The sequence below is a fragment of the Homo sapiens genome, chromosome 12 (assembly GCF_000001405.40).
Source record: "Homo sapiens chromosome 12, GRCh38.p14 Primary Assembly".
Classification (NCBI taxonomy): domain Eukaryota; kingdom Metazoa; phylum Chordata; class Mammalia; order Primates; family Hominidae; genus Homo; species Homo sapiens.
In genome coordinates this window covers 32,552,442-32,564,499 of record NC_000012.12, presented here as the reverse complement: position 1 = coordinate 32,564,499, position 12,058 = coordinate 32,552,442, and the positions used below count along the sequence as shown (strand labels likewise).

Here is a 12,058-nt window from a genome sequence, read left to right as displayed (position 1 = left end):
TCCATATAGAGAAATGTATGTTGTTTCAGGAGCAGAACAAATAGCAACCTCTGCCTGAGAAGATGCACAGATGGACTCTTCTCTAAAAAATAATGTACCCAATTCCTTCCTTCTAGCTTAAAACACTTTCTTTGTGGCCATCATTTTTCTGGTTAGCCTTCATTGATCAACAACGTACCCACCCCGAACACAAACTCCCAGTGAGCATACCTTGTGGCTTTGGACTTGCAGCTGAGTGTTTTGCTGGCCTGTTCCCATTTATTCCCTGAGCCTCTTCTTCAGATACATTCTCACCAACCAGTGTGGTTGTGCTGCTTGTGGAGCAAGGTGGAACTAAAGCGATCTTTGGACAGGTACTGCTGCCTGCAAGAGTTCAGAAAGAAAGGGCAGGTAAGTATGGAGGCATATCACAATACTGCCTTATAAGTTAAATTTCCCCTCTCCCACTCCCTCTCCCTCCCCCTCCCCCTCCCTCTCCCTCTCCCCTTTCCACGGTCTCCCTCTCTTTCCACGGTCTCCCTCTGATGCCGAGCCGAAGCTGGACTGTACTGCTGCCATCTCGGCTCACTGCAACCTCCCTGCCTGATTCTCCTGCCTCAGCCTGCCGAGTGCCTGCGATTACATGCCCGCGCCGCCATGCCTGATTGGTTTTCGTACTTTTTTGGTGGAGACGGGGTTTCGCTGGGTTGGCTGGGCTGGTCTCCAGCTCCTAACCGCGAGTGATCCGCCAGCCTCGGCCTCCCGAGGTGCCGGGATTGCAGATGGAGTCTGGTTCACTCAGTGCTCAATGGTGCCCAGGCTGGAGTGCAGTGGCGTGATCGCGGCTCGCTACAACCTCCACCTCCCAGCCGCCTGCCTTGGCCTCCCAAAGTGCCGAGATTGCAGCCTCTGCCCGGCCGCCACCCCGTCTGGGAAGTGAGGAGCGTCTCTGCCCGGCTGCCCATCGTCTGGGACGTGAGGAGCCCCTCTGCCTGGCTGCCCAGTCTGGAAAGTGAGGAGTGTCTCTGCCTGGCCGCCATCTCATCTAGGAAGTGAGGAGTGCCTCTTCCCGGCCGCCATCCCATCTAGGAACTGAGGAGCGTCTCTGCCCGGCCGCCCATCGTCTGAGATGTGGGGAGCACCTCTGCCCCGCCACCCCGTCTGGGATGTGAGGAGCGCCCCTGCCCGGCCGCGACCCCGTCTGGGAGGTGAGGAGCGTCTCTGCCCGGCCGCCCCGTCTGAGAAGTGAGGAGACCCTCCGCCTGGCAACCGCCCCGTCTGAGAAGTGAGGAGCCCCTCTGCCCGGCAGCCACCCCCTCTGGGAAGTGAGGAGCGTCTCCGCCCGGCAGCCACCCCATCCGGGAGGGAGGTGGGGGTCAGCCCCCGCCAGGCCAGCCGTCCCGTCCGGGAGGGAGGTGGGGGGGGTCAGCCCCCCGCCCGGCCAGCCGCCCCGTCCGGGAGGGAGGTGGGGGTGTCAGCCCCCCGCCCGGCCAGCCGCCCCGTCCGGGAGGTGAGGGGCACCTCTGCCCGGCCGCCCCTACTGGGATGTGAGAAGCCCCTCTGCCCGGCCACCACCCCGTCTGGGAGGTGTACCCAACAGCTCATTGAGAACGGGCCGGGATGACAATGGCGGTTTTGTGGAATAGAAAGGGGGGAAAGGTGGGGAAAAGATTGAGAAGTCGGATGGTTGCCGTGTCTGTGTAGAAAGAAGTAGACATGGGAGACTTTTCATTTTGTTCTGTACTAAGAAAAATTCTTCTGCCTTGGGATCCTGTTGATCGGTGACCTTTTACCCCCAACCCTGTGCTCTCTGAAACATGTGCTGTGTCCACTCAGGGTTAAATGGATTAAGGGCGGTGCAGGATGTGCTTTGTTAAACAGAGCTTGAAGGCAGCATGCTCGTTAAGAATCATCACCACTCCCTAATCTCAAGTACCCAGGGACACAAACACTGCGGAAGGCCGCAGGGTCCTCTGCCTAGGAAAACCAGAGACCTTTGTTCACTTGTTTATCTGCTGACCTTCCCTCCACTATTGTCCTATGACCCTGCCAAATCCCCCTCTGCGAGAAACACCCAAGAATGATCAATAAAAAAGAAAAATAAAATAAGTTAAATTTCCCCTGACCCCATAAAACAAAAACAGTCATAGTTACAAGACTAAGCATAGAAACACTTTTCCCACATGGGCTGGCCTTGACAAAGAGTTTTCCTGGGAACTATCTCATTCCATGTGCTTTAGGAATCTTATAATGGATGTTGACAGAAGACTGTTATACACAGGCCTCCTCTCCTTGCAGGGCCACAGAAAGGGCAGAACGCAGCTGCTACAATGTAGGCGAAGGAAAGGACGGAATTAATCCGTTAAAAGCCTTCCTTTTTAGTGTTGGGTCTGTGGCTAGTCACAGAGCAACTCAAAAGAACAAAGGAGGAAAGCCCAACGTGACAGCTGACCTAAAGACTCTAGAAGAATGGCTCGATTTGAAACTAACAAATACACACATGCGCCCACGTCCACACACACACCCTCTCGCCCACTAGCTTACTCAGACTCCACATCAACATCCATGACATACGCTAACGGTGACCCATGTTTTCCAAAGAAAGGATGGCAAGATTATACAGATAACATGGTCACATTTATATAGAACTCAAAAACTCCAAAATGTTCTTTAAAATCACACAAATACATCATGAGACATAGATGAAGAGGAAGGATTAAATGTTTGTTCACTTTCTGGTATAAAAAGTTATATGTTGAATTTCAGAGACTTTTAAAGAAGTCATGTGTCAGTGTTCTCTATTATGCATATTAGATTTCCTTCTCTTCTGGTTGACATGGTGATATTAAGACCACTGACTCTGCTTCAGAGAAAATAAAATTTCTACCAGGAAATTCAGTATAATTGAATCAAAGAATGCAATTTAAGGAATTATCATTTGGTTAAGAAACAAAGAGTTTCATTTTTTATAGAATCCAAATATCTCAAAGAGAACTCAGAGATTTTTTTAAGCCTTAATTATTGAAAACAAGCTATTTTTAAAAAACCCAATCAACTTTCTATTGAGTAAAAAAAACCCAAAAAATTCTTAATCCAATTCATTATTAAATAATATTGATTAGAAACCACATTTGGGCCAGGTGCGGTGGCTCATGCCTGTAATCCCAGCACTCTGGGAGGCCAAGGCGGGTGGATCACCTGAGGTCAGGAGTTCAAGACCAGCCTGGCCAACATGGTAAAACCCCGTCTCTACTAAAAATACAAAAATTAGCCAGATGTGGTGGTGGGCGCCTGTAATCCTAGCTACTCAGGAGGGTGAGACAGGAGAATCACCTGAACCCAGGATGGGGGGAGGTTGCAGTGAGCTGAGATCGCACCATTGCACTCCAGCCTGGGCAACAAGAGTGAAACTCCATCTCAAAAAAAAAAAAAAAAAAAAAAAAAACAAAACCCAACAAAGAAACCACATTTCTGCTTTATTTTCTGTTGCTCTCCTTAAAATTTATCTTGGTAAAACAGATTTTGGAAAATATCAAGAGTTCCAAGTATTGTCTCAACAGTTCTTTCAGAGCCAATACCAAAACAGAAATTAAATGACGCTAGGAATTTGAGACCAGCCTGGGCAACATAAGACCCTGCCTTTACTTAAAAAAAATAAAAATTAGCTGGGCATGGTGGTGCGCGCTTGTGGTCCCAGCTACTGGGGAGGTTGAGGTGAGAGGATCTCTTGAGCCCAGGAGGTTGAGGAAGCAGTGAGCTATAATCACACCACTGCACTCCAGCCTGGTCAACAGAGGGAGACCTTGCAACTCTGAGAAAAGAAAAAAAAAGGCAGGGGTGGTCCTCATCAGACATACTTCTGCTAAAATGGTTTATCAGCGAGATTAAGCATTGTTTAGTAAAATATAACAAGAATTTAGAAGGCAAAAGTAATGAAAGATTGACAGATTATTATTAAAATTATAAAAAGGCTGGGTGCAGTGGCTCACGTAATCTCAACACTTTGCGAGGCTGAGGCAGGCAGATCACTTAAGCCCAGGAGTTTGAGACCAGGTAGGCAGCCATGGCAAAATCCTGTCTCTTCAAAAAAATACAAAAAACATTAACTGGGTGTGGTGGCATACATCTGTAGTCCCAGCTACTTAGAAGGCCGAGGTGCGAGGATGGCTTAAACCTGGGAGTTTGAGGCCACAGTGAGCCGTGATCACACCATTGCGCTGCACTCCAAAATGAGTGACAGAGCGAGACACCATCTCAAAATAAATAAAATTATAAACAGAAGAAATACAGTTGAAACCTTTACATGTGTAAGCTTATCTATCTTCTTGGAAAAAAGTATGTGAAATAGGCAAAGTATATCCCTAAAATCCACAACACATCATGCAACCACTTGGCCTTTCAGGGGGAAAATCTGGATGCTTTTTCACAGTGATACTAAGAATGGCTTAAAGGCCACCTTTGAGCCTACTAAAGGCCACCTCCCGGGGTCTAGTGAAGGATGGCTGTACAGGCCCCAACAGTGCAGAGCCACAGCTCAACTACAAACTAGAGGAAGAAACTAATGTAATTGTAAATTGAGACCCTGAGACATCATCAATTTATAAGAGAAAGCAGCAACAATACTACACAAAGGGGGCAGTTAATGGGTTAAATGAGAAAACAAATTACGTTGAGTCTTTTTAAAAAGGTCATCACCATTACACATTAAAATATGAAAAATGTTTGACAGTCTATTTAGAAATAAAACATGTCTTACCTAAATATTAATTTGAATGAAAACTAGGCACTTAATTTCTAGACAGCAAACTTTCAGGGTATGGTAGGTTTCGCAAGTGTCATGTTTACAGAGAATATCTCCCACGAATGTGCCAAAATGCGTGCAATAAGAGATCAACTGTGCATCTATTTTTAAAATAAGTTCATCAAAGTCATGATTACACATCTTTTGCCAGAGGCAATTAGATCAACATTTCAGAACATTGTTTATTAAAACAAGTCTCTAAATTTCAGCCACTATCACAAAGCATGAAAACATGGTGAAGGACACAGAGAACATTTACATTTTTAAACATTTGTTTAAAAAAACAAAAAGGCAATGACAAATACATAGAGATCATACGTGGCTGCAAGGCTAAAAATACTATTAATAATTATTTGGCCCTTTACAGGAAAAAAATGTACGGACCACTGGTATAGGTTAAACAAATCATGGTAAAAGAAGTTTGCCTAAAAGAAGCACCCTTTCATTAAACACTTCATCTGCTAACATCTTGGATAATAGCAACAAAAACTGAAACTTTTTGTTTGTTTATGACTGACTTAGCCTACTCATATTTGGAAACAGTCCTTATTTGGGTGTCAGTTGCCTAACAGGGAATTGAAACCAAAATTGTAACCAGATGGTCTCTCATTCAAGAAGTTTTACATTAACTCTAGAGGTTCTTTGATTGCAAATTACAATATCAAGAAGAACCAGTAGGGCTGATTTATAATTATAAACAGTTACCTTAGAAACAGCCATAACAAATTACAGTATGTTAGTTAGCATGGGGAAGGAGAGGTATCCGATTTAAATACTATCTCCTCTTGAGGACTGGTCATCTTTTTAACCACTTTTTAGTATTAACCCATTTTGTACTCTGACCTTGGGTTGCTGACCTATGCTTGCTGGGTTGTATCTCCTATAGGAATCCCTAGACATACGCCAACCTCAAATATTCTCAATTAGCCTCACTGTTGACTGATATAGCTCCCTCGTTCCAACTGCAGAGGTTGCCACTATGGCTTAACTTTCCTTTATCTGTCTTTTTTGGCATTTAAACAGTCATGCGCTAAGTCACACTTTTGTGTGGTAGATATGCCCTACGATTGGTTAGGGTGACTTTTGGCTACTATTTGCTAGACTCTGTTATAGGCTGTTATATTACATTTTACCAAATCATTCTTGAATTATTGTTTCGCATTTTAAGTTTGGACCCTCTCTTTGGCTATCCATTGCAAAATCCACTCAGTTCTCTGATTCTTCGAGCCTGACCTCTTACCACAGTGTCCATGAGCTCAGATCACAGCTTTATACGGTCTTGCTTATACTGTCTCATCCATCCATGCACTGGGTCTCTAGCCCAGGAGATCTCAATGGGGTCCACCCTTTGGGACAAGCATCTCTTGGATTTAAGAGGGAAGACACAGTTTTCTAGGGTAGACGATCTTTATGGGAGCATATTGTCCATAAGGATAAACATACTTTAAAAAACCAAAAACCACTTTATTTGCATTTAGTTTTCACTGTCTCCTTAGTGTACTACAACCTGTGAGAATTACTTAGATTTGTCTTGCATGACTTTTGGCACCATAGCACTTTTGAAGAACATGGTCAGGTATTTTGTGGAATGTCCCTCAAATTGGGTTTCTGTTATTTTCTCATTATGAGACTGTGGTTATGGGTTTGGGGTAAGAATATCACAGAGGCAATGCACCCATCTCACTTTATTATATTAATATCACTGCATGATAGCAATATGATTATCATGTGATGTTAACCCTGGTCGGCTGATGAGGTGGCATCTACCAGGTTTCTCTACTGTAAAACATTATTATAAAACATTTTTCAACAGTCTTCTATCATAACTCCCAAAACTCCCCCATTTGTCCCATAGATTGCAGATTACATCTCCCATATGCTAGCTAAAACACCTAGATTAAGAGATCAATTGCCTTTTTTAAAAAAAAGACATTAAGGTTATAAAACTCATAGTTTACAACTCTCTTGCTATGGGGAACAAATCCATAGCCAGGAAATTTATTTGAGTGTTATTTCAAACAGCTCCCCAAACTTCTAAACCTGAATAATAAATTTTCTAGAAACATAATTATCAAGCCACAAAGGTTCTTCAAAAAGAAAATCTGATGAAGAGTTAAAGAAAGTTCCTTGGACCTAGGAACTGCATGCACTTCTAGGACTCTAATCTACAGTAATAGCCCTGTACATGTAAAGGTAAATATAACACTATAGAACATATGCAGCAGACTGGGAATATTTCCAAAATATAAATAATTGAGAGGTCTCCAAGACATTATTAAACTGTAGAATATGTATAATATCTCAGTTTTTAAAAAGAATAAGTTATAGACAAATGTATAGAAATGTACTGAAAGAGAGGGAAGATAGCACACCAAATGTAACTTTGGGAATTGCAGATGGAGGTGAGGTGAGAGAATGAATGAGAATTTTCATATTTTGGTCTGTTAACAGCTATATCATTTAAATCTTTTATAATAAAAATGTATTTATATATCACTTATATTTTTAAAAATCTATGAAAGTCACCAAGTATACATATCACAGAGACTTTTAAAAAAGCATATCCCTGCTGGGCATCGTGGCGCAGGCCTGTAATCCCAACACTTTGGGAGGGTGAGGCGGGCAGATCACCTGAGGTCAGGAGTTCAAGACCAGCCTGGGAAACATGGTGAAACCCAGTTTCTACTAAAAATACAAAAAGTAGCTGGTCATGATGGTGGGTACCTGTAATCTCAGCTACTCAGGAGACTGAGGTGGGAGAATTGCTTGAATCCGGGAGGCGGAGGTTGCAGTGAGCCAAGACTGTGCCACTGCACACCAGCCTAGGTGACAGAGTGAGACTCCATCTTAAAAACAAAAAACAAAAACATATCCCTTACATTTGTACATCCATGTTCACAGCAGCATTAATTCACAATAGTCAAAGAGTAGAAGCAGGCCTGGCGCAGCAGCTCACACCTGTAATCCCAACACTTTGGGAGGCTGTGTCGCCCACCACCATGTGCAGCTAATTTTTGTATTTTTTAGTAGAGACAGGGTTTCACCACGTCGGCCAGGCTGGTCTCGAACTCCTGACTTCAGGTGATCCACCCACCTTGGCCTCCCAAAGTGCTGGGATTACAGGTGTGAGCCACTGCGCCCAGCAGGAAATTCTATCATATGCTACAGCATGGATGAATCTTGAGGACATACATAATGCTAAGTGAAATAAGCCAGTTACAAAAAGAGAAATACTGTATAATTCCACTTTAAAATCATAGAAACAGAAAATGGAATGAAGGTTTTGAGGACCTGGGAGGAAGAAGAAAAGGGAGTTATTGTTTAGTGGGTGCAGAATTCAGTTTTGCAAGATGAAGAGTTCTGTGGATGATAGTGGTGAATGTATTTAATGACAGTGAAATGTACATTTAAAAATGGCTATGATGGCAAATTTTAAGTACCTTTTACCACAATTAAAATTAAAAAAAATTTTAAAGCATACCCCTTGTTTAACCAAGGAAAAGTCAAGAAATATTAAGCTGTTCTTATCTCTGACATGGCAAGAAACCATATTAAAGGCTCTTTAAAATTAAAGTGCCTGGCCAGGCATGATGGCTCATGCCTGTAATCCCAGCACTTAGGGACGCCACGGAGAGAGGACTGCTTAAGATAAGAGTTTGAGACTAGCTTCGGCAACACAGCAAGACACTATCTCTACAAAAAGTAAAAAAAAAAATTAGCTGGGCATGGTGGTGCACACCTATAGTCTTAGCTACTTGGGAAGATTACTTGAGCCCAGGAGTTTGAGATTGCAGTGACCTGTGATTGCACCACTGTGCTCCAGCTGTAACAGAGTGAAAGACCTTGTCTCGGCTGGGCGCAGTGGCTCACGCCTGTAATCCTAGCACTTTGGGAGGCTGAGGCAGGTGAATCATGAGGTCAGGAGATCGAGACCATCCTGGCTAACACGGTGAAACCCCGTCTCTACCAAAAATACAAAAATTAGCCGGGCGTGGTGGTGGGCGCCTGTGGTCCCAGCTACTCGGGAGGCTGAGGCAGGAGAATGGCGTGAAACCGGGAGGCGGAGCTTGCAGTGAGCCGAGATGGCGCCACTGCACTTCAGCCTGGGTGACAGAGCGAGACTCCATCTCGAAAAAAAAAAAAAAAAAAAGACCTTGTCTCTTAAAATTAAATATTGAAGTGCACTTGGATTAGTGCTTGGTTCTCGTCTCCCACTTGCACCCACACTTCCATGCCTTCCACATGTTGAGATTATCCTACACTTAAATCTCTACTGCAGACCTCACCCGTCTCCAGATTTACACATGCAGTTGCCTACCAGCATCTTCCCCAGTATGTCTAAGAGCCATCTCACTATCAACAGATTCATATCTGAACCCCTCATCACCCAACTCTTATCTAAAAGTAGCTGCCTTAAGGTTTTCTCTGAATCAATAGTAATAACTCCATTTATGCACAGGCTAAAACCTTGGAAACACCCCAAATCCTCTTTTTCTCTCATACTCTACATCCTATTCACCAGGAAATCCTGGTGGCTCTACTTTCAAAATATTTCCAGATTTTACCATCTAGCACTATCTCTGGTGCTACTATTCCAGCCTAAACTACCATAATTTTTAACTGAATTACAGCAGTAAGACCCCTGCTCCTTCCCTTGTTCCCAGTGCAGTCCATATTGTCAAACCAGGACCAGAGAGACCCTTTTAAAACCCAAGTCAGATCCTGTGCTTAAAATTCTCCAATGGATCCACATTCTACTGAGAGTAAAATCTCAAGTTCTTTGCAGTAGTTTGTAAGCTCTATAGGATCTGGCCTTAGCCCCATTACCACTTTTACCTTATGGCCACTATTGCCCCTTGGGCATTCCATTCCAGGCACACTGGCTCCTTGCTATTCCTCCAACAGGCCGAGCAAACTACTTGGTGCTGGAAAGTTCTTCCCCCCGATTATTTTGAGGCTAATTGCTTTATCTTTTTTAAATCTTGGCTCAAATTGCATCTTGTCCACATGGACTACCCTGACCACACTATTTAGTTTTATTGCTAGTCCGACCCCTACTTTATAGTTTATTTTTTTCTGTAGCACCTATGGCTTTCTAACAAACTACATTATTTACTTACTTTTTTTATTGTTTATTGTCAGTTTTCCCTGGTTAGAATGTAAGCTCCAGGAAGGCAGCAATTGTGCTCCTGACAAATCCCAGGAATACCACCTGTCACAGGGTAGATGCTCAATATGTATTTGTCAAACAAATGAATTCTGGAGACCTTGGGCAACTTTCTCTGTTTGCCAAAATTCTTAGTTTCTATTTCATAAAAGATGTTTTCTAAATTCTGACAATATGGAAATATCTAGAGCCCAACCTATATAAAATTTGATATTTCCATTTAAATCTAAAATCCAAAACATTCAAAGTTATTCTACCAAAATCCTCAATATTCAGTTAAAACAAACAAAAAAAAAGTTAAAAGCTATACATACCCAAATAATTTTTTCACAACCCAGAAGCAGATTGGTAAGCATCTGGAATTGTAGAACTCTCCAGATGTTTGTCTTGATAAAAAATAGTAACAGTAAAAAAAAATCCCAGTTATTGACTGAATGTTTCTGTTATTATTTTCATTTATCATTATGTTTTTGAGACAGGACCTCACTCTGCCACCTAGACTGAGGTGCACTCACAACTCACTGCAGCCTCAATCTGAGCTCAAGTGATCCTCCCACCTCAGCCTCCTGAGTAGCTGTGACTACAGGCATGCACCACCACGTTCAGCTGATTTTTTAAAAATTGGGGTTTCTGTTGCCCAAGCTGGTCTCTAACTCCTGGTGTGAAGCAATCCTCCTGCCTCAGCCTCCCAAAGTTACGGAATTACAGGCATAAGCCACCATGCCCAGCATGTTTCTGTTTATTATTTTATTTACATTTACTAGGATCACTAACTTATATGCATTATAGGCTGCCAATATTTGAGACTCATCATACAATGCTACCTAAAATTAAAGAATGTCATACTGTCAGGTAAAGCAAATGGCTTGAGATCTTTTGAGTTCAAAGGTAATATAAACTCAAAATAAGACTTGAAGGGAGATAACTACAGATATTCAATATTTTTAAAGGTCTCATGGTTGGATGAGCACAAATACAAAGTGTAAAAAGGCAACTTTGACTGTTATCTTTCTTAAGCATATCAACAATGTGGCCACGCAGTTGACAGAAATGTACAGCCTCTCAAGACAAAAATAATTTTTAAAACAATAATTTTCAGACTAGAAATATTTTGTTTTCCCCAAATTATACTCCATAATTATTTACTGAGTGCCTTTTGTTTGCTACCCTGAAAGGATAAAAAGGATAACACTAAGATTTCTAAAGAATATTATTGTCTGTGGCACCTTAAAAGTTAGAATTCTGTTAGAACACAACCTGCTATACTTGTCCTAATTCCAATTTTGAATAGGAGCTGATAAGACCCATGGCCACAGTGCCTGTTATAAGAAGACTGTGTATTGCTACAATAAAAATTTGGGCTCCAGAGGTCCAACACTCTGCTCCACCACTCTCGGGATGGCCATTTGTTGTTAGAGGACATGTGTCCCTGCATAGACATGTTAAAAGTGCATACTCCGGCCAGGTGCAGTGGCTCATGCTTGTAATCCCAGCACTTTGGGAGGCCGAGGCGGGTGGATCACCTGAGGTAGGGAGTTTGAGACCAGCCTGACCAACATGGAGAAACCCTGTCTCTACTAAAAATACAAAAAAAAAAAAAAAAAAAAATTAGCCAGGCGTGGTGGCGCATGCCTGTAATCCCAGCTACTCAAGAGGCTGAGGTAGGAGAATCGCTTGAACCCAGGAGGTGGAGGTTGCGGTGAGCCAAGATCGCGCCATTGCACTCCAGCCTAGGCAACAAGAGCGAAACTCTGTCAAAAAAAAAAAAGGTACACTCCATGATGACTCTTGCATTGGAGCTGGCCAGTGTGCTCTGCTGTACCTTGGCATGCTGTTTTCTTAGGTAGAGACTGAACTTACCACTGCAACAGGAAGGCAGCTCTCCCTCATATTTGCCCTCACTACTGCCCGAGTTCCATGTACTAATGGAGGTTTCCCTTTCTGCTGTGTTCAACTAAGAATGTTGGTTAAAGCCGAGAGTGGTGGTTCACGCCTGTAATCCCAGCACTTTGAGAGGCCAAGGCAGGCGGATCACCTGAGGTCAGGAGTTCGAGAGAAGCCTAGCCAACATGGTGAAACATTGTCTCTACTACAAAAAAAAAAAAAAAAAA

The 12,058-nt window shown here is 43.1% G+C and overlaps 1 protein-coding gene across 21 annotated transcripts in view, besides 1 other annotated feature; it reads right to left on the bottom strand.

Annotated features, from left to right (window-relative positions):
* FGD4 (FYVE, RhoGEF and PH domain containing 4) overlaps window positions 1-12,058 on the bottom strand; it is a 246,493-nt gene that overhangs the window by 81,551 nt on the left and 152,884 nt on the right. For 19 of the 21 annotated variants that reach the window (XR_001748576.2, NR_168884.1, NM_001370298.3 and 16 more), the window contains one exon: window positions 211-363. Coding sequence is in view for 7 of the 21 variants with exons in the window: in NM_001370298.3 (NP_001357227.2) it covers window positions 211-363 (153 nt within the window). In the remaining 14 variants the exon portion in view is untranslated. Of the gene's footprint in view, window positions 1-210; window positions 418-12,058 lie in introns of those variants that run through there. The other 2 variants (XM_047428297.1, XM_047428293.1) reach the window with 2 other exon arrangements.
* Window positions 836-1,520: an enhancer, noted in NCBI's record as "H3K27ac-H3K4me1 hESC enhancer chr12:32715914-32716598 (GRCh37/hg19 assembly coordinates)". NCBI's record gives its function as "activates a minimal SCP1, AML or CMV promoter by ChIP-STARR-seq in primed H9 embryonic stem cells {active_cell/tissue: H9 hESC(primed)}" and the evidence as "EXISTENCE:reporter gene assay evidence [ECO:0000049][PMID:30033119]".